This window comes from Homo sapiens, chromosome 4 (assembly GCF_000001405.40).
Source record: "Homo sapiens chromosome 4, GRCh38.p14 Primary Assembly".
Lineage (NCBI taxonomy): Eukaryota > Metazoa > Chordata > Mammalia > Primates > Hominidae > Homo > Homo sapiens.
In genome coordinates, this window is record NC_000004.12 from 31,702,060 (window position 1) to 31,729,518 (window position 27,459).

Genomic DNA, 27,459 nt, shown 5'->3' on the forward strand with positions numbered 1-27,459 from the left:
CTCTTAGCTGTGTGGAACTTGACAAGCTATCTAACTTTTCTTGAGCCATGATTGTCTCATCTGTAAAATAGAGAAAACCATGGCTGCTTCATGGTTAAGAATTAATTAAAACATGTCCTTAAAATTCTTAACATAGTGCCTGATAAGAGTCAGTCATCGATAAATGGCCATTCTTATTGTTGTTGCTGCTGCTCCTGTTTGCTCTTCCCCAGTGATCTGCTTATTTGTTGTGAATATCAGATAACATTTTCTTTGCGTAGAAAATATTTTAAGTGGAGGATCTTGAATGTACTGAATGTATTTGAATTGCTTCTTCAACATTTGCCATAAAAAACGGGAACATTTTTCTGTCTGACTTTTTAAAATAAAATTATTTCATAATCTCCTCCCACTATTTCCAAAGTCAAAGAAATTAGAAACAGCACAGCAAAACCAACTTAGTGCTTTGAATTCTTTCTATGATTACCACAGAGAACTCAAATCTTTTGCCAGATCTTGCAGACATGAAGATTTGTGTGCTCTGGCAAGTTTAATATTAAGTAACTATGAAATCAGGAGATAACGATAACTACATATCCATCTATGTATGGAGGGAGAAAAAGCATAATGGTATGTTTTATGATATTCTTATGTATGTGCATTCAGAAATCATTTAGAAGAGTCAGATTGAAAATTTAAAATGTCACAAAGACTAAATAGTAAAAACAAAGGAATGATAACCCATGCAACAATTTAAGAGAACACAATAAATCATGATTTTTTTTCCAATGTTGGAAGAAATTTCCTTTATGTATCTGCAGGACTGTTATTAAAATAACATTAGGCTGCGCTTGGTGGCTCATGCCTGTAATCCCAGCACTTTGGGAGGCTGAGGCCAGTGGATCATTTGAGGCCAGGAGTTTGAGACCTGCCTAGCCAACATGGAGAAACCCCAGCTTTACCAAAATTACAAAAATTAGACGGCTGTGGTGGCACACACCTGTAATCCCAGATACTGGGGAGGTTGAGGCATAAGAATGGCTTTAACTTGGGAGGTGGAGGTGGCAGTGAGCCGAGATTGTGCCACTACACTCCAGCCTGGATGACAGAGTGAAACTCTGTCTCAATAAATAAATAAATAAAAATAAAGAAACATTAAAACTCTGAACTCACTGCCCAACAGCTATATTCCTTTAAAACATTACAATAGAAGAGCCTTGCATTTTAAACGACAACACTGGTATTTAAATTTAAGAATACAACTGCAGCATCTCTAATTTCAATATATTGTTGCTATGTACTTACAATTTACAAAGCAAGTGTGAGTATAGACATTCGCACATCAAGATAATTCATGCTTAGGAAACTGCTAGTTAACTAGAAGAGATAGGAGAAAAAGAATAGTGAGAGAGAGAAGACAAAACCTGAATTGCTTTGAAAATTATTGAAGACTTTTACTTACTTTAATGAATAAAATTTGTTTATAATCTATTTCCATGCAAATCTTAATAATGAAGCAGCAAGTGGCTAAGCAAATATAATTTTTATAAGCTAAATCATAATCATGTATTACTGAAGGTGGAGAGTAAATATGAATGTGTACACTAAAATCTAAATTTAGCTTCATGTGAGTACATTCTAGTGGTAACAAAATGTGCTTTAGTTTATGTGCATTGAATTTCAATAATTTTCCTCATTACTTGATGATGAATTGTTTAAAATCTCCATTTATCTTTTAAAATTTTGACACACATACATTGACTATGGAAGTGGAAGTGGAAGACTTACCACTATTTTAGTTTTTGCTACAAATATATAGTTTGTATTAGTTCATTTTCACACTACTGATAAAGACATACCCGAGACTGGGAAGAAAAAGAGGTTTAATTGGACTTACAGTTCCACATGGCTGGGGAGGCCTCAGAATCATGGCTGAAGGCAAAAGGCACTTCTTACATGGCAGCAGAAAGAGAAAACAAGGATGCAAAAGCAAAAACCCCTGATAAACCCATCAGATCTCGTGACGCTTATTCACTACCAGGAAAATAGTACGGGGGAAGCCCCCACAATTCAAATTATCTCCCACCTGGTCCCTCCCACAACATATGGGAATTATGAGAGTGATATTTAAGCTGAGATTTGGGTGGGGACACACCCTGGCCCCTCTATCTTCACAGTTCAAAACCAATCATGCCTTCCCAACAGTACCACAAAGTCTTAACTCATTTCAGCATTAACCCAGAAGTCCACAGTCCAAAGTCTCATCTGAGACAAGGCAAATCCCTTCCACCTATCAGCCTAAAAAAATCAAAAGTAAGCTAGTTACTTCCTAGATACAGTGCAGGTACAGGCACTAGGTAAATACAGTCATTCCAAAGGGGAGAAATTGGCCCAAACAAAGGGGTTGCAGGGCCCATGCATGTCTGAAATCCAGCAGGGCAGTCAAATTTTACAGCTCTAAATTGATCTCCTTTGACTCCATGTCTCACATCCAGGTCATGCTGATGCAAGAGGTGGGTTCCCATGGTCTTGGGCAGCTTGGCCCCTATGGCTTTGCAGGGTTGTTTTCATGGACTCCTGGTTGCTTTCACGGACTCCTGGTTGCTTTCATGTACTGGCGTTGAGTGTCTGTGGCTATACCAGGTGCAAGGTGCAAGCTGTCAGTGTATCTACTATCCTGGGGTCTTGAGGACTGTGACCCTCTTCTCACAGCTCCACGAGGCAGTGCCCCAGTAGGACTCTGTGTGGGGGCTCTGACCCCACATTTCCCTTCTGAACTGCCCTAGCAGAGGTTCTCCATGAGGGTGCTGCTCCTGCAGCAAACTTCTGCCTGGACATCCAGGCGTTTCAATACATTTTCTGAAATCTAGGCAGAAGTTCCCAAACCTCAATTTTTGACTTCTGTGCACCCACAGACTCAATATCACATGGAAGCTGCCAAGGCCTGGGGCTTTCATCCTCTGAAGCAACAGCCTGAGCTGTACTTTGGCCCCTTTTAGTCAAGGCTGGAGTGGCTGGGACATAGGGTCCCAAGTCCCTAGACTTCACACAGCACAGGGACCCTGGGCCCTGCCCATGAAACCATTTTCTCCTGGGCCTCTGGGCCTGTGATGGGAGGGGCTATCATGAAGACCTCTGACATGCCCTGGAGACATTTTCCCCATTGTCTTAGGGATTAACATTCGGCTACTTGTTACTTATGCAAATTTCTACAGCTGGCTTGAATTTCTCCAGAGAAAATGAGGTTTTCTTTTCTATCACATTGTCAGGCTGCAAATTTTCTGAAATTTTAGGCTCTGCTTTCCTTATAAAATTGAATGCCTATAACAACACGCAAGTCGCCTCTTGAATGCTTTGCTGCTTAGAAATTTCTTCTGCCAGATATCCTAAATCATCTCTCTAAAGTTCAAAATTCCACAAGTCTCTAGGGCAGGGGAAAAATGCCACCAGTCTCTTTGCTAAAACATAAGAAGAGTCACCTTTGCTCCAGTTCCCAACAAGTTCCTCAACTCCATCTGAGACCACCTCAGCCTGGATCTTATTGTCCATATTGCTATCCTCATTTTGGGAAAAGCCGTTCAACAAATCGCTAGGAACTTCCAAACTTTCTCACATTTTCCTGTCTTCTTCTGAGTCCTCCAAACTGTTTCAACCTCTGCCTGTTTCCATTTCCAAAGTCACTTCCACATTTTCAGGTATCTTTTCAGCAGCACCTCCCTCTACTGGTACCAATTTACTGTATTAGTCCATTTTCATGCGTCTGATAAAGACATACTTGAGACTGGGAAGAAAAAGAGATTTAATTGAACTTCTAGTTCCCCATGTCTCGGGGGACCTCAGAATCATGGCGGGAGGTTAAAGTCACTTATTACATGGCAGCGGCAAGAGAAAATGAGAAGTATGCATAAGCGGAAGCCTCTGATAAAACCATCAGATCTTGTGAGACTTATTCACTATAAGTGAATATACTACTGTAAGTATATTCACTATAAGTGAATATACTACTGTAAGTATATTCACTATAAGTGAATATACTACTGTAAGTATATTCACTATAAGTGAATATACTACTTATATACTACTACAGTATGGGGGAAACCATCCCCATGATTCATATTGCCTCCCACTGGGTTTCTCCCATAATGTGGGTATTATGGGAGTAGAATTTAAGATGAGATTTGGGTGGGGACACATAGCCAAACCATATCACAAGGCCTAGGACAAATAAAAATGGAAGAAATGTGTTTTGTTTTTCTGTGTCATGGGATGTTTTCAATCATGATCATGATCTTATGGCCATGGAAAAATGTTCACAATGTATTTCTTAGCAAGTAAACCTGCTATAAAGCAAAATGGAATCATTGATAAATTTCAAACATAAAAAATGTTGGTGACTGAATATTCTCAATTGTGGTTTCCACGTGTCTTTCAGTTTTGTTCCTTGGTATTACAATGGTAAATAGAAAAAATATAATAAAATTATCAATTAAGTTTTTGGCATATGTTTGAAAAGTACTTCTTTAGTTCATTACATTTATTTTTTAATTCAGTGATTTTAAAAATATGTCTTCATTTATTAGAAACAACCCTAAACTGTGGCATTTAATATGAAAACTTGGATACATTCCTTTAGTTAAGGTTTGTTTAGTACAGGATACTAGTGTAGGTAATGCAACAAAAACACAGATGACTAATATTCCGCATGTGAATCCTCATCATAAGGACTTTAAATCTAGAAAAAAACAGTCAATGAGTATGATTAAAAATGCAAATAAATATTTTTAGGTTAAAAGAAAGTACACACACACACACACACACACACACACACACACATTCCTTTGGAGTTTAGAACACAAACATAACAGTCACATTAAATATTCCTAAAGAAGTTTGGTCTTTCTATTTTCCTCAGAGTTTTATCACTACCTGCAATTATCTACCTATTTATTTGCTTGCATCCTCAATTGGGAAGGTAAGCTCCATAGCATAATTGTCCTTTTGACTGGTTCATTACAATGTCTATGTTGCATCCCAGCTTCAGGTCAGTTTATAGAACATTATAAGTGTCCAATACATATTTGTTGAATTAATAAATCAGTTGTTTCAAGTATTAAAAAGATAACCCAAGTAAAGCTTTTAGCACAGTGCTGTATACATGCTAAACACTTCTAATTATGAACTATGTATTATTATTGGCATTATTTTATTTTGAAATAATTCAAAATAATATGATCAGGGTAAGTTTAAATGCAAAAGTGGTGCCTGAGCTATTTTTTTAAAGGTAAATATTTTAGTACATAGAGTGGGGGAATTCAAGGAAAAAGAAATGCCAGAAAGAATTAGGAGGCAGAGTGTAGGGCAGACTTTCTGAAATGCAGATGATCAGTTTAAGTAAGCATGTTGGTGCTAAAATTTAAGTAATGGGGGCTTGCATAAACATAAGTGAAGCAATTTGGATGTGTTCTCAGAAAAGCATCAAGCTACTAACTTGTACATTCCTTGAAGGAAATCACTTCTCATTCTTAGTATCAAACACTAAGACTTAGTTCTGTATCACAAATGGCAGACTGAACAAATGATTAAACTAATGAATGCATTATTGAAAAACACTATCCAAAATAGTGACATAATATCAAAATTGTATCAATAATATAAATCTGGTGGTAATGTTCAAGACTCGGTTTATGGGAAGAGATCAAAGTCTTGGAGATTACATTAGAGGGTTGTTTGAACAATTTAGGCATGACACAAAAAGACCTAACCTCAAGAACTGTCATTGTGATTGAAATGAAAGTATATGAGAAATATTGTGAAGAAAGTATGAACATATAAGTACAAATTCATGTGGTTTTGATATATAGTGTCAGAGCCTTCATCACATTATCTCCAGTGATTTATCAGTTTTTGATTACTTTCTAGTCATTTATTCTTAGGGCTAAGCACACTGTGGTGGTTTTCTTTATTGTTTTGTTATTTTTAGATATGTAAAAAGTGCATCCCTTTATAAAAGCATGGGTGTGTATATATACACACACACCCATATATGTGTGTGAATGGGTTCCCTCTTCTTGATGCTACATTTCAATACAGTGAATATGACTCAAAGCCTGAATACATGTGACCCATATACATGTTTATAGAATTATCTGAAATTATTGAGTCATATTCACTATATTGAAATGTAGCATCATAACGAAGGAATCCTGATCAGAGAATGAATAATGGTTATTTTTAAAGACAATAAAAAACAACGGCATTCTTCAGAATCACATTTATTTATGTGTACGAGACCAAGGACCTAAGAAAGTTAAAAAGCCATTAGAGATCTTTCCAAAAATTGACTGCATACTTCTAAAGAATAATACACTGTCTATAATTAAGGAGTAACCTCCCAGCTGCAAGAGTTTCCCAGTCATCATTGAGTATAATATGAAATGAGCTGACTTGGTCTGAACAGGAGGTCACCCACAGAAAGACATGGGAAATTATACAGTCAAGGCCCCTTGCTGTTAGAAAAAGCTATCATTATAATAAAGTAGAATAGCACATTCTTAAAATACCCAAAGGCCTTTCTCATACCAAGGGTTAGCGAATGTCCTCATTATTCTCCAGATCAAAAAAGCCTTCAAAATGTAATATGAGGAACTGAGACTAAGGACAGGGGCTGGAATAAATTATGAAGTCTTTGGTAGAGTTTTTCACTTGTTTAAATTTCATTTTCTTTCTCTATCTCTCCCTCTATCTATCCTTTTTCCCCTCACTAACTTGATTTGAATGTCTCTGTAAAAACAGAGGAGAAATTTTAAACTATTAGACTAAAGTAATCAAATCACACTGCGTGTGCCCAGTATACATTCATTCTCTTCCTTCTGCAGCTTTCTCCTAATCTTTACACACTTTATTTCACCTTCTACCCATAGTACCTGTTTCCCAAATATTTTTTTGAAATCCCTAGGCCTTCAACTTCATCCTACTCCATTACTTTCTAGAGGCATCAAGTGCCTCGTATTCACATTGCCTTTCCTAGTGCCTGGAGCAGAGTACATATTTGTTTGTTGAATGAACAAGTCTTGCTGGCCTTTAAAAAGATTTCATTGTAAACCCCATTAATTATTTTTCCTTCTGCTTTAAAGTTTCTATCTCTTCTCAGTTTCTCTTTATTGCAGACAAAAAGACTACTTAATCATATTCTACAAAATCCACCATCTAATCATGCCCTTGAAGTTATCACCTCTTGTTTCTTTAAAGATCAATTCAATATCCGTTATTGTATTTTTTTCTTATTCATTTATCTGCAACATTGCATTTGTCCTACAACTTTGAACCTGGCATAATTCTAAAAACTTTTACATATATCATTCCCTTGTATCTTCATTACAAATTTTGAAATTGGTACTATTATAGTTAATCTACGTGTTGAAAATGGGGGCAAGGAGAAGTTAATTTCTTATTCAAAAATTTGACTTTCTGTTGGTGCTGTTGCTGAAATTCTGACAAAAGTCTGATTCTAGAGGCTGACCTGTGGACCAATATTAACATTAAGTTGCACCCCACATCTGCTGTTTAATGCCTTCTAATCTATTTTTAAATGAACACTCTTTAGAAAATAAAGTTTCAAAAGTTACTAGTGAATGCCCCAAAGATAAATTCAATGGCATTATCCCATTGTTCATCCTAGCTCTACTTCTCATTTTCTTTATCAAGTTTTTCTTCTTAGTATTATGTGTCTCTGATGATTCTTCTAATATTAAGTATGCTAATACTAACTTTTCCATATAATAAGTATTTTCTTTCCTCTCAGATTTCTCTTTTTCTTTTTTACACTCTTCTCTTTTTTAGGCAACACTTAACGATTCTTCTAATATTAAGTATGCTAATACTAACTTTTCCATATAGTAATTATTTTATTTCCTCTCAGATTTCTCTTTTTCTTTTCTACACTCTTCTCTTTTTTAGGCAACACTTACATATGACCCCTATCTTTCTCTACATATTCTAGTTGGTAATTTCATTGCATTCATCATTTCAAAATTAACTATATGCGGATAATTCTCAAATCTATTTATTCAGCTCTTCTATATTTTCTGAGCCCTAATTTATTATTGAGCATTGTCAAACATCTGTACCACAAAGGAGGTCTGAGAGTTTATTAAATGTACCAAGCTCACTCATGCCTATGTGCTTTTTCCTTTGTCTCAATTATACTTCCCTTCAACTATTCTTGACCTGGTTAATTTTCAAGTTAGTTTCAAGATCCATGTTTAAAAGAGTCTCTTCCACTTGGGGTTCTTTTATACCTAATGCTCTGTATCAAGAGTTCCTGTGCCCACAGTATCTTCCCTTGATCCTTACTAATAAAAGTCCTGATTTTTCTGTGTGTAAACAGATACCTAGAATAAAGAGTGTATTTCCCAGTCTCTTTTCAAGACAGGGGAGGTCATGCAATGGGCATTCAACTCAAAGATATGTAAGCAGATGTCTCACATGAGCTCAGCAAAGTTTTTATATTTTATTTTTTACAATTTAATTATCACCACAAACCTTTAAATTTAGACAGGCTCCCTTACTTCTTTCCTTTTTCTTGTTGGCTGGAAGACAGACATGAAGGCACGAGGCTGAGCAGCCTTATTGTATCATAAGGCTGCAACCAAACGTGGCAGAGAAGCAAATGCTTCACTGTATTATTTCTATCCTCTTATGTGCTTTATCTCTTTAATATTTGACACCATCTAACACTATATCAGTCAAGGTTGTGTATTCTTTTAGTTATCTATCTTACTTTTCTCTTCAACTACACACATGCAGATAATTTGTTTTGTTTTATTCAGTATTGTACCACCATGGTCTAGAAGAGTGCTGAGCACATAGCAGGTGCTTAAGTGACGTTTGTTAAATTTTTTAAAAAACATTTATTTATTAATACACTGTCTGGATTTTGTCAGTAGTCATGACACCTGTGTACTAGAATTTAGGCACAATAGTTTCCAGTTTAAGAGTGTTAAGAAAGTGGATGAACTAATGAAAGACATTTTAGCATCTTAGATTTAGAGATGTTTTCATGTTGTGTCCTCCCTTTTGGATGATGCATTCTGTAACCAATCCTCTCCTTTAAAATATCTTAAATACTTTTTCACAATATTAAAATCCAGGGGCTTTGATATATCCATTATATACAGCCTTTTAAATTGCCTTATAACCCTCTGGAAACATACTCTAATTGAATGAAAAACGTTTCCTTGTGTTCTTAATTTATATTTTCTACAAAAATGTTTAGACATTACACTGCTAATGCTTTGTTTCCCAGAATTGCTATTATTTATTATTATACTAGACCCTCAGTAATTTACACTAATAACTGAGAGACTCACTAGAGACTACTGAATTTGGCAGATTAGTTAGTGAACAAATAAATATGAAAACATCAACACTGCTGTACCACAAAATGTGCTTTATTCATTATTTTGATAAGTGTAGTTTAATTATAATCATCTATGGTAATGTTTCACAGTATGCTAATAAACAGTGTCATATGTTACAAAATTAATGCAATCTTAGTTAAAAGAAAAATTGTTGCTAAATTTGTTCCACTTTTTGGAGAAAAATATAAATCTATGATTTAGTATGATTTGCATTACTTTTGTTCCAGAAAAATAGGTCCTATATGTTATTTTAATAATTTCTATTGTTTATTGTCTATATCTCCTGCTAGAAAATACAGTTCATGGGAACAGATTTGCTTCCTCGCACACAAATTGTACATATTATGCAGAGATATGTATGTAAGTGTCCATTGTGCAGGTACATAAAACTTTGTAAATGGAAAGATTTTAAATATAAATTTGTAATTTGTATTACATTTAAATATACATTTTGCTCTGTGTCCGTGGTATTCTATGCTTTCAGCGGCACTACAGGGATAAATTATTTATTCCTATTTTTAGTAATCTCTAAGCAATTTTTAATGAGAAGATAACATATCTAAAATCATCGCTAAATTATGAAAAGACAGATCAAGATGACAAAAAAAATTTTATTGCTTATTTTGTTTTGTTGTTTTGTTTTTCTATGGAGTAGAATATTGAACAGGTACTAATAGCTTTCAGTCATACTTAATAATTTCTAAATTAAAAAGAGATAATTGAATTCTTACCAAACTAGATTTATTGATTTCTCCATTCATTCATTTAAACAATAAATATGTAAGAAATTAGCCATTAAGTTCTTGTTCATTGTGATAATAAAACAGCAGAAAAGTAAATAAATAAAAATTTTTGCCTTCATGGATATCTCGTTTTCTAGTTGGAGAGATAGAAAGTAAATGACATCTGTAGCTAAAATCAGCATAGGTTACAGCATAATAGGAGATTAGGAGAAAAATAAACCAGGGAAGGAGAGAAGTTGTGCCCCACTCAAATCTCACCTCAGATTGTAATCTCTATAATCCCCACATACCAAGGGCAGAACCAGGTGGAGGTAATTGTATCATGGGGGTGGTTTCCCTCATGCTGTTCTCGTGATCTTGAGTTCTCATGAGATTTGATGGTTTAAAAGGGGCTCTTTCCCCTTCACTCAGCACTTCTTCCCGCCACCTTGTGAAGAAGGTGCCTTGCTTCCCTTTCACCTTCCGCCATGATTGTAAGTTTCCTGAGGCCTCCCCAGCCATGTGAAACGGTGAGCCAATTAAACCTCTTTCCCTTATAGATTACCCAGTCTTGGGCAGTTACTTATAGCAGTATGAAAACAGACTAATACAGTCAGTGAAGGCGACATTTAAGAAAAGACCTAAAGGGGTTGACGGAGTAATTGTGCTTCAGTCTAACGGAGGAGCTTTCCAGCCAGAATCAAGCAAGGGCAGACATCCTAAGACAGAAGCTGTTGGTGTGTTTGAGGAAAAAGGTGGCCAGTGTTAGACTGGATGCTTACAAAACAGAAAATGACTAACATTTATGTGAAGTACTAACTACTTACATTCAAAGCAGCACTCATTTTTTAAAAACACACGTAAGTAAAAAGGAGGAACATGGAGGTGAGACATAGTGCTAGAAAATAATTTTTTTAATGCGATTTTTTTTAAAAAAACCTCTACATCCTTACAGTCTACCTAAAAAGACAATTAATTTATGAAGTGACAGCCAAACTAGCAATACATATTAACAAATTTGTCTGAGTCAGAGAGCTCATTGCAATGTTTTGCTTTTGCATGTACATACGTCTGTGCACAGCCACACAATTTACTGTTTAATGAAGTTTCAATATATTAAAGAAAATCACCTTAATATCATAGAGCAAATATATTACATTCATAACAATATAATCACAATTTTATAAGCAAGATTTACTGAAAGTATTTCAAAATTGATAAATGCAAGCTACCAGAATCTTATAGCAAATATAACCTTTCTGTGATTTAAAATCAGGTCATCCCAAGATCAGATAAAACAGCCTCCTATTTTAGCTCCTTCTTACAATATTACTAGTAATCATATTTAATGCAAAAGATAAGAAACAAATAAGAGAAATAATATCATTAATTATAGATGCTTTCTATTTCAGTGGATACCTAGGGAATTCAATTAATAACTCATCTCACTGCCTGAGTTCTGGAAACACTGAGAAACAAACAGAAGCATACAAGACAAGGAAGAAATCTATTACCTTCCAGTACTGAAAAATGGTGGTTATAATTGCAACAAATGTCTTTCTTATAATAGAAATTCAGAAATCAAATGACACACTTTATCAAAAGTTATGCTGGATGCCACCACAAGGCTTCCTCATGGACTGGGCCTACATCCCATTTAACAAATAGTCAAATGCAATTAAGGGGAGATGCTCACTATACTTTTTTTTTTCATTCCAGGAGAACAAGGCTTATTTGTGATTCACATTTTCTTTCCCCTGTAAATAAGTGAATGTGAGGCCAGAGGAAGTCCAAGAGTGTAATTCTTGGACAGCTACTTCTAAATCTAAGGACATATTCTTAGTGAAAAAAAAAGAGACATCTTCCCTAATAATAGTCTTTCTATTAAAAATATCCAAAATATGCAGCTGGAATTTAATTGGAAAAATTGAAAATATGGGTGGATACAAACTAAAGATACAGAAAAATAAGAATCTTAATTTCATACCAACCATCAGTTAAGCTTGTTAATTAATAGATACAGCATTTGTGCTACTATAAAGAGGCTCGTTTATTTCTATTACCAGTTTGGGCCAGAAATACATAAAATTTTATTGAGTCTATAAAGTAAATCAAATGATATCATCCCATTTTCTTTTCCAAGAAAATTCTATATTGTGAAGATGTCAATTATCTCCAAACTAGTCTATATTTAAATGCAGTTCCCAAGCTATTTCCAACAGGTTTGTCATGTGAAACTTGACAGCTGATTCTACATAGCCAGTTTATCAGTAGTTGTTCTAAGATTGGAAACTTGGGCAGAATTTGATGCTGCAGTGTTGAAGTAGAATGTTTCTGTCTCTGGAAAACCTCAGTTTATGCTCCCCAAGCTTCCAACTGACTGAATGAGGCCCACCTACATTATTGAGTATAATCCCCTTTACTTAAAGTCAATTAATTGTAGATATTAACTACATCTGCCAAATAGCTTTATAACAACACTGAGATTCTTCTTTGGTTAAGTAAACGGGTAATATAGGCTAGGCAAATCGACACATATAATTAACCATTACATCTTATAAAGAGAAAAACACTCAGAATAGCCATAAATATTTTGAGGAAAGAATAAAAATATAGTGGTACCTTTTTCATCCAGTCTAAATTTATATTGAATATAATACCATTCTTGTAGGTATAATAGACAAATAACCTACTGGGAGGTTAGAATTAACATATATGAGGTTTCAATATATGACCTTTTCAAAAAAGTGGATTTTTGAAATGGTCATATATTGACCATATCACATTTTTGAACCATTTCAAAAAAGCAGATAAGAGATCCAGTTGTTCATGACTCAATAGATCATGTTGGAATAATTCAATATATATAAAATTTTATATATATGTATACACACACATACAAAATATTATTGATAAAATAGATCTTACATAATATCATATATAACAATAAAGCTATAAAGTGCAAAATGAAAATGAATTCTAAGTGAAAATTTGAAATGTGTGTGGGCAGCTGTATTACATAATTGTAAGTTTTCCTTTCCTACTGTCCTTGCCCTGCTTTTAGCGCTGGGAGGATGCAGTTACCTCTCCTTTTTCATTTGGGCTGGAACACTCATCTCAATTTGCCTAGTGCAAAATGAGTAGGTAAAACGTGTGTAGGAACTTTACATGTGGTTGTGCAGTTTTGGCTTGTTTTTATGCTTCTGCCATCCACCAATGGCAAGGACTTCTCTGGAGTGCCACTGACATCAGAATAAAAAAAAATCTAGAACATCTTTGAACCTAATCTACAACCTGGAATGAAACCAATGAATCACAGCTTAGTCTAGCAGAACACCAGCTGATTTACAGCCCCATGAGCAGGAAAAATAAATGTGTGTTTAATGTAACTGAGATTTGACATCTTTTGCAACAGTGCTTTATTATTGTGATAGTGATTTAATACATTAAAGGAAATATTAGAGAAATGTGTGAGTGTTTTATTTACAGAGTGAAGAATGCTTTTCTAGGCCAAAAAATAAAAAAACAAAACATACAAAAACACGAAAAAATTGCCTTTATAAATATATAAAGCATTAATGAAGTAAAATAAATATCAAATAAAAATACGATAACCTATGAAAAACTATGCAACATGAAAAGATTGATATTATAAAATTCAAAAAACTCCTGCATTATTGAAAATAACAAAATAGGATAATGGCTAAAAATAAATATGTAGAAATATTAGCAGAAAAATACTTTGAAGATGATTATCTCTTAGTAATATTTGTGTCATAAGAAATAAAATAGTTATTTTGTTCTTTAAAGGGTAAAAATAAAACAATGAAAATAACAAGTGGTTTCAAGGGTAAGGATCGATGGGAATATTTTCTGTTTGGGAAAGATTAATTTTAGAGTAATTTTAATTATTACCTATATTTCAAATGCACATAACTTCCATCTAGCAATTCTACTTCTAATAATTCTATCAAAATTTTAATATTTAAGCTTATACATGCTTATATAAAAGTGTCCATGTTTACATTGCATATTAGAGCAAAAAATGAAAACAATCTAAATGTGCATCATTTAACAATTTTTATTTGTAATATACCCAACAACACAATGTCTGGTGCATAATGCATGTTAAATAAGAATCAGTAATACTTATCAATCAATAAACCATGCTCCAACTAAGTCTAATCCGAGTTGTTAAGATATTTAGTTTACTCTTCAGAAACATACGTTTAGGTGAAAGTTAAAATCTTATTTTTGCTCTTAAAAATTCCTAAATTGATTTATATGTTCAATACAATCACAAACAAATTTCTACAAGGTGTTTTTGTAAAAATTGACAAGCAGATTCTAAAATTTGTGTAGAAATGTAAATGACTTTCCAAAAGATGATCAGTGTTGAAGGGCTTATGTCATCTAATTTTAACACTTACTATAAAACCACAGTACTGGAGCATAAACATAGACAAGTGGAGAGGAATAGAGAGTCCAAAAATAGACTCATGCATCATTAATCAGTATGTTATTAAACGAATTACTTATATTAATTGTATAATTAATCAGTTAATTATTAAATTAAACAATTAATTTGTCCATTAATTTTTGATAAAGGGGTAAAGACAATTGAATGGAGATAGTCTTCAAAAAACGATGCTAAAACAATTGTATAGTCATACCCAATAAAAAGATCCTCAATCCGTACCTTGTACCATATAAACATCAAAAGCTACCCTGTACCATACAAATAGCAATAGCCAGGGTATTCCCCAGTTAATTTAGGACATTACTGTTATCATGGGCCTAAAGTGAAAGCTTTACTTATGAGTTTGTTATTGTGATGTTATAAATGGTACAAGAGAAAAGAAATAAGCAAAACACACCTCCCAATTTTAATTTTTTAAAAAATAATCCAGAGAGAAACAATAGTTTCAGAAATTGAAAGCAGTACCTTGATCATTCCAATGTTGGCATGCAGGATAAACCAATGTTGAGCCATACCAAAGATAATTAAGGGGGTCCTTGATCCTGTAAAAGTCATTAAGTTTGAATATCAAAGCTGTTCTCAATTATAACTAAGACACTGTAAGTAACAGAACTGAGTGATTAGATGCCACATACAGAGAATTCTTTTTTAAACCATTTATGAAAGGTGCAGCTTAATTAGAAAAAGCAATCAAATTTCAAAATTTGGGAAAAATACACTTTCTGACAAAAATACTAGTCAGCAGTTTGAATTCAAAATATACATGAAATGGAAACTGCAAACTACTCTGAAACGGCATGCTATCTACACAGGTGTAACATGTGTGTTATAAGCCTCTAGCTCTACCTTGGTACACATATTTCTTTGAAGACTTGTTGTTTTATTGCAGGGATTGCTTCTCCCTGGAAGAGGTTGCAGGTGCCATCTTAGTTGAATAAAAAGACTTCAGACTGTTATTTCTGAAAAATAAATCTAAGGAAGTGTACTACAAAGAGTCCTCACCCCCACCACCCAGTCTCTCCAGATTTTAAAAGAGAAAAATATATACATCATGAAGACTTTTTAAAATTAGTCTCTAAAGATGTTGAATCTATAGCATAAATTTTATAAGATCTAACATATTGATTTATTTTCTGTTGACTGAGCAATATGAGGAACTGCTACTCATGTATCGATACTTGAAAATCAGGTTTATTTTGTACCTCAGTACTCTCTAGACATCAAATAGTGTAGGACAACCTAACATTTTTGTATTCCCAAATATCTTAAACATTCGGAAAGTACCTCTTTTTGATTCACATTTTGCCACTGTGTTCATGAACATTTGCAGTAATAGCAACATTTCAGCTTCTTAGTGTTGTCATTCTTAAAATAATATTCACCATAATATATTTATTCTGTTTTGACAAAACATAATAAAAATATTAATGCTACTACTAATAAACACACAAAACAAAGCAAACTTTAATTTTTTACTAAAGTTTTCAATCTCAGACATAAAATAATGTGTGTATCATTGCCAATTTTGTTTAAATACTTTTAAAATTAAAAACTACAGGAATAGGATAAATATCACTTTGAGGTTAAACAACATTTGACAACATCACCCCCATCATTTCTTGCCATTGTCTTCTATCAACTGGCATGTTCAATTTTATGTGTGCCTAAAACTCTTTGATACCTGCCTTCAGGTTTTCCTTATAACCTCAATTCTTGCCATAATCCTAGACAACATTCAGGATTTTTTTGATTGTTATTTTCTTAATCTATATTTATCTATTTTACCACCAAAAGTGTAAATTTAAGCATTGACATCAGTGATGGCAATCTTCCATTTTCTTCTTATGTGTTATTCCTATCATAGGTATCTTTGGCATCATGGGAATTTCTGTACCTTGACCTCTCTACTTAATTCTTTCTATCACTCCTTCCTGGCTTTGTTGTAGGTACTTTCAATCCTGAACACCCATGTTACCTTCTTGCTTACATGATCCACTTCCCAGTATCCTCTCCTGTATCAGGAACTTTGATATAGCCAGCACAAAACAATCACAGAACACTGGATGTTGGTGTCAGAAGAAATTCATTGTCTCCTATCTCACCTGAGACCTAAAAGCGTTTTAAGAATTATTTTATATCTTCCCACTTAACTGCCTCTCTTATTCACAAGGGCATTTCAAACTGTCTCCACTCTTCTCAAATTCCTTATCCTTCTAAACTATCTCAATCCCAGTAATAGAATAACTACAATTTACTGAGTATTTGATGTTTTGAACAATCTACTAAACCCACCACAAATATTGCCTCATTTCATCCTCTCAATAACCCATGAAGTGGTTTTATTATTTTTATTTTACTGAGTGATAAACAGAAGAAGGTGAGAGTGATAAGGAGTATGTCAAGGTTCTGTAATGGATAATAGTTGGAGCTTGGATTTGAACTCCCAACCTCATAATCTGAAATGCCCCCTACAGCAGAAAAGAACTTGCTCCCTTCTTTACTGAGAGTGGAGAATCTATTAGATGAGAAGTGTCTTCTTTTCTGTATTTCCATTATAAATGCATTTTCTTTCCTCTGTTTCTCATTTTCTCTTGATATTGTCAAAATTCTACATGAGCACTGATATGGTTTGGCTGTGTCCGCACCCAAATATCATCTTGAATTCCCATGTGTTGTGGGAGGAACCCAGTGGGAGGTAGTTGAATCATGGGGTCAGTTCTTTCCTGTGCTTTTCTTGTGACAGTAAGTCTCATGAGATCTGATGGTTATTATAGGGAGGCATTTTCCTGCACAAGCTCTCTGTTTGCCTGCTGCCATCCATGTAAGACATGACTTGCTCCTCCTTGCCTTCTGCCATGTTGTGAAGCTTCCAGAGCCATGTAGAACTGTAAGTTCAATTAAAGCGCTTTCTTTTGTAAATTGCCCAGTCTTTATCAGAAGCATGAAAATGGACTACTACAAGCACCTAATATTGTATTATCCCCTTATGACTACATAAATTCTTTTATTTTATATAACCCACTTTCTCTTTATAGCTTCAATTTTCCCTTCATTGGATCTTCTCCAATTATTGCTTTCAAATAACAATAATAATATTAATGATAATAAACTCCCATCTTTACAAATAAAGGCAAAAATTATCACTCTCTACATATTACTCTAGGTTTCTGATCCTTACATTGTGAAGAATTTAAGGGGGGTTTATAATCAATATCCTCATTCTTTCTCTTCCTTTTTCTGTTTTATATAGTAAAATACGAGTTCTACCCACTTTTCCAATGAAACTGCTTCCACTGGCATCACCTAAAAACTTGTTGGTCAATCCATTATAACCTTTTAGTTTCATGTTTTTTCAGTATTTGGAAATATCCCTGTGTTAATTTTATACTGCTGCATAACACTCTACCAAACATTTAGTAACATACATTTATCATCTTTAAACAACATCCATTTATTATCTTACAGTTCTGTAGGTCATGGCAACTCAAGGTTATTTGCTGAGGGTTTCACACAGCTGGAATCAAAGTGTTGGCTGAGCTGCATTCCCATCCAGAGATCAGGGTCCTTTTCCAAGATCATTCAGGTTGCTGGTTGAATTAAGCACATTATAGTTGGAGGAGAGAGGTCGCTGAGTTTTTTTTTTTTTTTTTTTTTTTGCTTGCTATAAGCCAGAGATCTTTGTCTTCTTCTAGGAGATACGTTTTAGCCATAAGGGCTTATTCACAACATAGCAGTTTTCTTCTTCAAAGTCAATAAGACAATCGCCCTTCAATTTGTTATGGTAAAATTTTAAATAATAATAATCGTAAAGAGAGTGACTATACCATTACCTTTGCCATATAAAGTAATCTAATCAAGGGAGACAACATTTATCATATTAACAGGTCCTGCCCACACTCAAGGGGAGGAGATCAAAGGACATTTCCACCACTGATTAGGAATCTTGGAGGCCATATTAGAATTCTTCCTACCACAGTTTCCTTCTTGGCATCTTCTATTTCTTTGGTTCCTCTGACACCATATTTTTATAGTTTTCCTCCTTCCCATTCAAATATGTCTTCAGACACTTCTTTTTATGACCTGCCCTTAAAATATTTAACATCAATCATTCTTAAAGCCTACTGTCTCATCTACAATTTGATGCATCTAAAATCTATGTCTCTATTCCTATATGCTCTTGTGTTACAAATTTATGAATCTAACTGCTTACTCTCCATTGCCATATCCATTTGAATGAGCAAAGGAATATCAACATATTAAATGAACTCATCATCACTTCTTTCTCATACCTAACACACACGCACGTGTGCATGCGTGCACACACACACATAATCTCTTCTTCAGTGGTCAGTGTTTTCAGTGAATGAAATAAAAACACCATTCAAATACTAGCCAATGCCAGAGGTCTGTGTTGCTCCTTGATTGCTCTTCTGCCACTTACACAGCATGTCCAACCAATCATGAAACACTTTTACTTTCACCTCTTTAATAACCTCTGATTTACCCAATCGGAATAACCAACGTACTTGAGTTAATTAGACAAAAATCTTCCAAACTAGTTTTGTCTCCGTAGATTGATTCTAGAAGCATATATTTAATTGCTATATTTTTTATCCTAAAACTCTTCCATACTCTGAACTCAGGGTAAAATTCAAACTCTTTGGAATGGGATTTAAACTCTCAACAATAGGGTCTTGATTATATCTCCAGTTTCATCATTAGATGTTTCTCATCTGAACTCAGAAATTTTGCTACAAGTCTACTAAATTACTTGCAGATCCAGGAACATCTGTTTGTTTGTTTGTTGTTTGTTTTCTCTAGACTACAGACCATGCCTTTGAACATGCTATTCCTTGTGATTGACTGGAACATCCTTTTCTCCTTTTTATCTGACTGACTTCTATTCATGCTTGTAGTCACAATTTCATGCTTAGTGAGGGCCTTTTCTTACCATTCTACACTAAACATGGTTTGAAGATTGTTTTATGTGCTCCTCCCTGATAAAGCACTTAGATTATTATTTAAATTGCATTTTTTCTGTATTGTCTCTTAATAGAAATATGCAGCTTTCTGCAGTGTTATAAATTAAATGGATAAATCTTAAAGGATGTGTAAGTTATAATCAAGAGAAAGGAGGATAAAAGGAAGTATATATAGAGAAATGGAACAACATTATTAAAATCACAAATACAGTGTGCTTAGGATATATAAGTAGTTCAGTAATTTAAGAGTATAAGATATAAAGGTTAAGGAGTAATTTGGAATGCTGAACTGAATCCACAATGAGCAGGACCATTAATGCCTCAACTTAATCTGGTAGTCAGAGAGAAGCCACTAAAAATTCATAAACATTGACATGACGTAGCTCTCCTTTCCTTCTAAATCTATCACATAAATGACTAGGTAAAAGACAGATTAATGGTAGCAATCTTCTAAGAAGACAGATTAGAAGATTATCAGTGCAACTAAGGTGAGAAGTAATTAGGTCATGGAAAAATCAAGCTGGAGATACAAATACAGACTTGAAGAATAGAAGATTAAAGGTAAAATGTTAAAAGGCAGTTGTTTAACTTATCCTATGATTTAAACATGTATGTATATATACACACATATATATCTATATATATTCAGATATCTCTATTTCTTGAATGTGTATCTTATTCGTTGAACAAATATCTATGTATTTCAAAGAACAATATATGTATTGTATATATTATAATATTGTATATATAATAAGTGCATTATATATACATATAGAGAGAGACATATACAAAGAATAGAATACACATACTCAAAAAATAGCCCAGTTATAGTCTGCGTATTTCCCCAATACTTCCCCAATAAGGTTGAAACCACTTGATGAAAAGAACCGTTATTTTTTAAAATTTTATAACATCTACTGTGAACCTTGAATTTTTCTAACACATATACACCCAAACACCCACAGACATAAAGGTCTCTGAGTAATTCTGCTTCAAAGAGTACAATAAATGTTTTTAATTAATTTGACTATTAAATGAATTCACACTCTTTTATGTGTTGTGCATATTACAAGTTCAGTTTTTGAAAATTATGCCCAGAGAATGCATTTGAGGTTCCTGACATGAGCCATACTTTATGCACCATCAGAATTCCTCTTTGAGGCTATCTACTTGTCTTAGTGTTCCCATTGTCTAAGCCAGCACTACTTGATAGAACTTTCTGTAATGATGGATATGTTCTATATCTATGCTATTTAAATATAGTATCCATTAACTACGTGTAGCTATTGAGCCCTTAAAATTTGGTTAGTGTGACTGAAGAATTGAATTTTTAATTTTATTTGATTTTAATTAACAAGATTAAACAGCCACTCAACACTAGTGGCTATATAGTGGACAGCACGCATCTTGATTTTTAAGCACCGGACTTCTGGCAGTTGGAAATTACTGGAATTTGAGTTGCTGTGATTTGATTCAACTAAATTAAAATTAAAATACATTTCTCAAACCTCCTTTGCATGCTTAAACTTATGCTTACAGCTGTAGAACAAAGGTGCAAAGAATTGAAAACTTCAGATTCTACCTTTGAAGAACTCCATAGTCAGTCTTATGGACAAAAGCTTGTGGGCCAAATACAATCTGTCACCTGATTGTGGAAATACAGTCTTTTTGGAACATAGCCATGCCCTTCCTTATATATTGTCTCTGGCTACTTTTGTGCTACAGAACAGGTGTGAGTGTTACAACTCAGGGTACACAGTCCTCAAAGCCTAAAATATTTACTATCTGGCTCTATACAGAGAAAGTTTGCTAGCCCTGGTGTAGTGGGTCAGAGCTGTGAAAACAAATAATTACAATGAAGTGCAATGAAGCTAACTATAGAAATGGGGATAAAGTACAGAGGCATTAGGGTAGGGCATGACTGACTCTGGCTGAGTTGTTCGGGAAAGGAATCAAAGAGAAGTGATGTCTGAGTTAATTCTGATTGATGAATAAGAGTTTGCCAGAACAGAATTAAAGGGAGGGTTTGATGAGTCTCTCTGTATTTAGTGAATGGAAAATAAAATAATCTCATCATCTATAAATACACCCACAAATATATATATTTATGTGTGTTTGTTTATACATATACAATATATACATATATATGTGGAATATGCATATATTTTCTCACTACTGTTAATAATACTGTTAATAAATTTAACACTAAGGGGAGCTTATTAGAAAGTCTATATTGAAAAGATCTTAAGTCTTTATGACTTATTTACCTATAGTTACTAATATTAAATGAAATAACATGTTTTATATTATTTATTTTATTTAATATAAATATATAAATAATATAAAAAATAAGATAAATAAAATAAATATATAAATTATTTATATTAATTTATATATTTTCTGGAGTTACAATTGAGTATTATTTTTTTAAAGCCATTAACTCTCAAAAGGAAGACTTCCTAACAGTATGCTGTCATTGTTTTTTTTATGATGTGTGAAGGAATACAGGAATATCATGGGCACACATCTAAATATCATGGACACACATCATGGACAACATGTTTTTCATGTCATTGGCTAAAATGTGAAGATGACCTACAAGAAGATATTTATGACTGAACAAGTAAAGGGTATTATAATATCTAGACCTCAGGCTACATAGAACTTAGTGGCTCAAAACAGACATACTGAGTTGAAGTTTGAAGCATGAGGAAATCTGTAGTCAATATTAGAATAGAGATTTTAATATCAACATGATTTACACTCCACGTAATTCATTTTTTAAAGAAAATAAAAATTCAACTAATCCGAACCATTAGTCTTTATTATTATTATTTTTTTTTATCTTTACTAGATATTTGCTTTGCTTTGCTGCAGTTATTTCACACTTCTACCTTTGGGCTAGTTCCCCTGTGGTTTGAGTGGAGTGAAGGTGACAAGTGCTTTCCTCTGGCTGCTGTTATTGGTTCAGGTAATTTAAATTTAAGCTTATTTGCATGTCACATTATCTAAAGGTAAGTATTCCTGAAGGAAGTTTCAATCAATAGATATATCAGCACAATTAATGGTTGTGACAGGACAGGGACACCTTATCTTCTTATGGATATGAACGAAGTGTGATATTCCCTTCATAGTGCTGCAGCCATTTGGTGACCCTGAGAAAAGACAGCCTAAGAATGAAGTCAACATATGGAAGAGGGCAGAGAAGAAAATACAGAAAGCTAAACCAGAACCCTACTGATCATTACCTCAAGCCCACTCTATGCCCAGATTTTAAAGTGAGCCCATCAATCCTGTATCGCTCTAGTCAATTTAGTTATATTTATATTACTTTTATATTACTTAAAGACATCTTGATGCAAAGATGTACGATATATGAGTAGCTTTCAAATAGAGTTGCATATCAAACAAAACCCTATGTCTAATTTTGAAATTACAATCTAAATGACTATAGAATCTGTTTTAGTTTTATTTTTGGGAATAATAGCATTTGCTCATGTACAACCATTTTTATCCCCTTACAGTCTCCTTGGAGATGCATAAACTGTCTTCTTTATAATTATGTTGGATTAAGATTTTGTATGCCTTACTAAAATGTAAATGCTACCTTCATTTTAAGGAAATTATTAAGGAAGGAAAAAAATTGCCAGTTGATTTTAATGAGAAAATAGAATTCAAAAATATTTGAAATAGTGTGTTTAAGAACAATGTGGGGTGGAGAAATGATGTTAAACTATAACTCTAAGTAGGTAAGAGGAAATATAAGGCCAGCTGGAGAATGTGCATGTGTGTGTATTCACATGTATGTGTGTTTCCTTGTGTTGATTGTTGTAGGGAAGGTAATGACAGAGAAGTGGGATACTAAAGTAAAAAAAAAGTCCTTAAATGACAAAAGTTGATTAATTCAATGTCTTATGTAGCAAAAGGTTAATGATTGCAGACAAAGGCTGTAATTCTAGGGGCAAATAAGCGATAATTAATAACTGCAATTGGGATTTCAAGAGTGCCATATTTTTAAGAGGAATTTAGAATTACAGAACTTACTGCGAAAGTCCAGTATGTTTTAAAACGACTTTTTTTCAAACCTACCAATATTTTTTTACATATATGCATCAAAATTTGCTTTTGTAATGTTATGCTTTTAAAACATATCATTATTAGTATCATCATCATCATTTATTTTACTTTGCAGAGCATTGTAACTGGATAAATTATGGAATTGCATTCATAGGATAAAGTGAAAATGAAATACAAAGTTATCAAATAGCAGGTTATATAGCTAACGAATTGTAATACAACATTTATCTTTGAATTTTTCAATCTAGTGTGTCATTAAAAAGGCCCCATATATTGACAACATTAACATCTTATTTTTTGAATAGTTAAATATAAAAACATTCAACATTCTTGAAAGTTATAAAAAGAAATACTGTATTAACAGCTACTAAGATAGAAATTGTGAGAGAAAGTGTACTTGTGCACTATGAAGAACTCTTATATGTACTGTTATTACATTTTGCATTTTTTTACATAGTTTGATTTAGGCTAATTATATATATTTGCATATAATATTGGTGATAAACATATGTTTCAAAGTGACTTTTGTGGATTGCTGATCAGGCAAAACTCTCTGCACAGTGACTGGTGTTCTGAATTTTTTAAAAAAGACACATATGTTCTGTTCTTGGATTCTACAATACGCTTTGACATATTAAGGGTTCTGATAAGTTTAGCAGTAAAGAAACTAATTAAACATCATTTAATAAAACGTTGCTTAAACTTATTTGTCAATAAAATATTTTCCCCTAAATAACACTAACATCCCTATAATTTGGAATGCTCAGTTCACCAAATAGACTATTAAATCTTTCATTTTGAATAAAAATATTTTTAATTTCCTTGTTTGGCTTTGCTTCTGTGGTACATTGGCTCAGATAGTTTCACCATAAATAGTGATTTTTTTTCAACTTGTTTTAACCTCAATAGTAGATCTTACTCTTTTGGCTTAAGATAAGCACTACTTCTGTATGTATCACATTATATTGCCTTCTTTTTGTTAAGGTAATAGCATGCTCTAAATTCCAAGATAGGTATTAAAAATGTATAATTTTAAAAGGTACATCAAGGACATTGGATGGATTCTTTTGATTTTTTTTTATATTTGTACATGAATATTTGCCTAAGAGTGTTTTCCTGTATAGTAAAGCTTGCCCTTTGATGTAAAAGAAAGATGTGTGTGTGTGTGTGTGTGTGTGTGTGTGTGTGTGTGTGTGTGTGTCTGTATTAGTATTTCAGGGTTTCTCCAACCAATGTCATCAATATAAATTTCTTACATGATGACATTATTTGTTTTTCTTAATTCAATCTCATTCAGACCAGTATAATACAAACGTTAGATAGGGAGGAGCAAATCTAAGTCACACTGAATAGATTTAAAGAATTTGAGGATTTAATGCTGAATGTCAGAGTCAGATTACACAAAAATCTTGAAATTCTAAAGCAAGATTTCTTCAGTAAGATAGTGTCAATGTAATGAATATCATATTATGGTCTTCATTCCATAGCTACACATGACAAAACATTTTCACTCAGAAAATGTCATGCACATTTAGAAAGAAGATTGATAAAAGACATCATATGAAGTCTTTCTTGGAAAACAAGGCTGAGGAGCTGTCTGGATCCTCATTGCAAAGTGAAATGTCCTCTTTGCTGGGAAGATAAACAAAACAATAATACACTATCATGCTCTAACTGAAAATACATATGGCTAAATAACTAATCATATAAATATTATAGTTCTCAATAATCACTAATAAAAATAATACATATTTCTTTCTTCCACTCATATTTATTCATTGTTCATGTATTCTACTTCACAGAGTAAATGAATGTGTACAACGTTAAAAGCAGGGTGGAAGTAAACCGTCAAAGAAAGATTTTTTTGGAGAAAATTAGCAATGTCTGGCATATAATATGCTCAAGGGGTAATTCTTACTAGTTATTTTTAATTATGCTGATTATTACATATAAAATGATCAATTAAATTATTCAATTTGAATGGTGCCTCAAAGGATCCATAATTGTACTTTTTTGCAGTACACTTGTAGTACAAAACATTGGTGTTTGGGAGTCAAAGATATCTGAGTTGGAGCTCTTGCTCTACCTCTTATTTAGAATTACTTAAGTGTTCTGTGCTTCAATATTTGAGTCAAAATAAAGGGAATAACTTCAGACCTTTTAGCTCTTGTGATAATTTTTTTAAAATGTTAGTACATTAAGTTTGCTTCTAATGCTAGCTCATTTTCTCATTCTTCTTCCCTTTTTAGCTGTTGGTCCATCCAACTCATCCTGCAGTTTTTTGTTTTGTTTGTTTAATTTTCACATTGCTAACATAAGTTTATGGAGTATGAGTGTAGTTTTGTTACATGGATATATTGCTCAGTGGTGAAGTTGGAGCTTTTACTGTAACCATCACCCGATTAATATATGTTGTACTGATTAAGTAATTACTCATCCCTCATCCCCCTCTCAACCTTCCACCCTTCTGAGTCTCCAGTGAGTGTTATTCCACAATCTAACTTGCAATTTCATTTCCATTTCATTCCTCTCTTTTTCTTTCCTTAATTACTTTGCTGCAGAGTAAAACACACTGCTTGGTCTAATAATTTTTTATAATAAAAGTATAAATTAAGTTTGGGTTTTTTCTTGGCTTTGTGTCAAATGTTGCTAAATATTTAATGAGGCTATATGAAATTCATTTTTGTCCAGACTGAAGTTCCAAGGACTGCAGATTTTAAATATATATATATCACATGACTTACATCTTTAATGTATTCTCAATATGTTCTTTTTTTAAATCCCATTATCTTCACCTAGAGTCTGAGCTGATATTTTCTCTTAACCAGGTGGTCTTTTTCACGTTTGAGTTGATTTTTTATTTTTAACATTTATAACTATGAAATGTTAGGTTTTATAAAATGTACCTGTGGATGCCAGTTACCACCCTAACAGACCATAATTGTTTTTATTACCATGTTTCTGGAATAATTTATCTATATAGAGTTTGATGTGTGATTTTTGAAATTCCACAATATATTATTTTCAAAATCACTTTTACTTGAGCTTAAGGGAAAATATACAAAGCTTCAATTAAGAGACATAATTTATTATATCATACATGTGCTATTAGTTACTATTGCAATAGTAGCTATGAATTTATATGAATACTATTATAGAATATTAGCAGCAAGTAGGTATCATTTAATTTTTTTAGCTTTTAGTTTGGGGCTATTTGGAAAGAGGGTCTAAATAACTTGTCTGCCCAATATTTTTTGATCTTTCTTAATTTCAAGTCTTTTAATGAACAAATAAAAATTTACACAATTGTATCCTATAATGTATAGTGATTTTATTCATTCTCTTTCCAGAGTGGCACCCCTTCACCTGATAAATATTTTAGTCTTAATTTGACATCTACTAAATTACTGAAATGCATTGAGCTGATTCTTTTGAAGTATTAATTGATATTTGAAATGTGATTCATTATCTAAAGGAAATTTGACTCAGTCCAGTAAAACATTAGAAATAAAATGCGCTTCAATATATCTAACAAACTCCTTGTTTTACTAACTAAGCAACAGAGAGATTAAGGGGTTATCTCCTCTTTTTTTTTCTCTAATTGCAATTTAATATGTCTTTCCTGTATAATTATTTAATACTAATAGTTTATAGTTTTGAAGGTTTCAAATTTATAGTCAGTACCTTTGTCATGATGAATGAATGCTCTAAGAAGACAAAGTTCTTTAAACCTGTATGGCCACGCAGCAATATTGCAAAAATCTCTGAATTGCCTGGCAGGGCGCAGTGGCTCACGCCTG

The 27,459-nt window shown here is 33.2% G+C and overlaps 1 long non-coding RNA gene across 1 annotated transcript; it reads right to left on the reverse strand.

Moving 5' to 3' along the window:
• LOC105374566 (uncharacterized) lies at window positions 1–27,459 on the reverse strand. The gene is made up of 4 exons (XR_925555.1): window positions 27,344–27,459; window positions 15,066–15,142; window positions 1,285–1,356; window positions 1–60 (listed from the first exon to the last, which is right to left on the reverse strand). It is a non-coding gene; the product is annotated as an uncharacterized LOC105374566 (long non-coding RNA).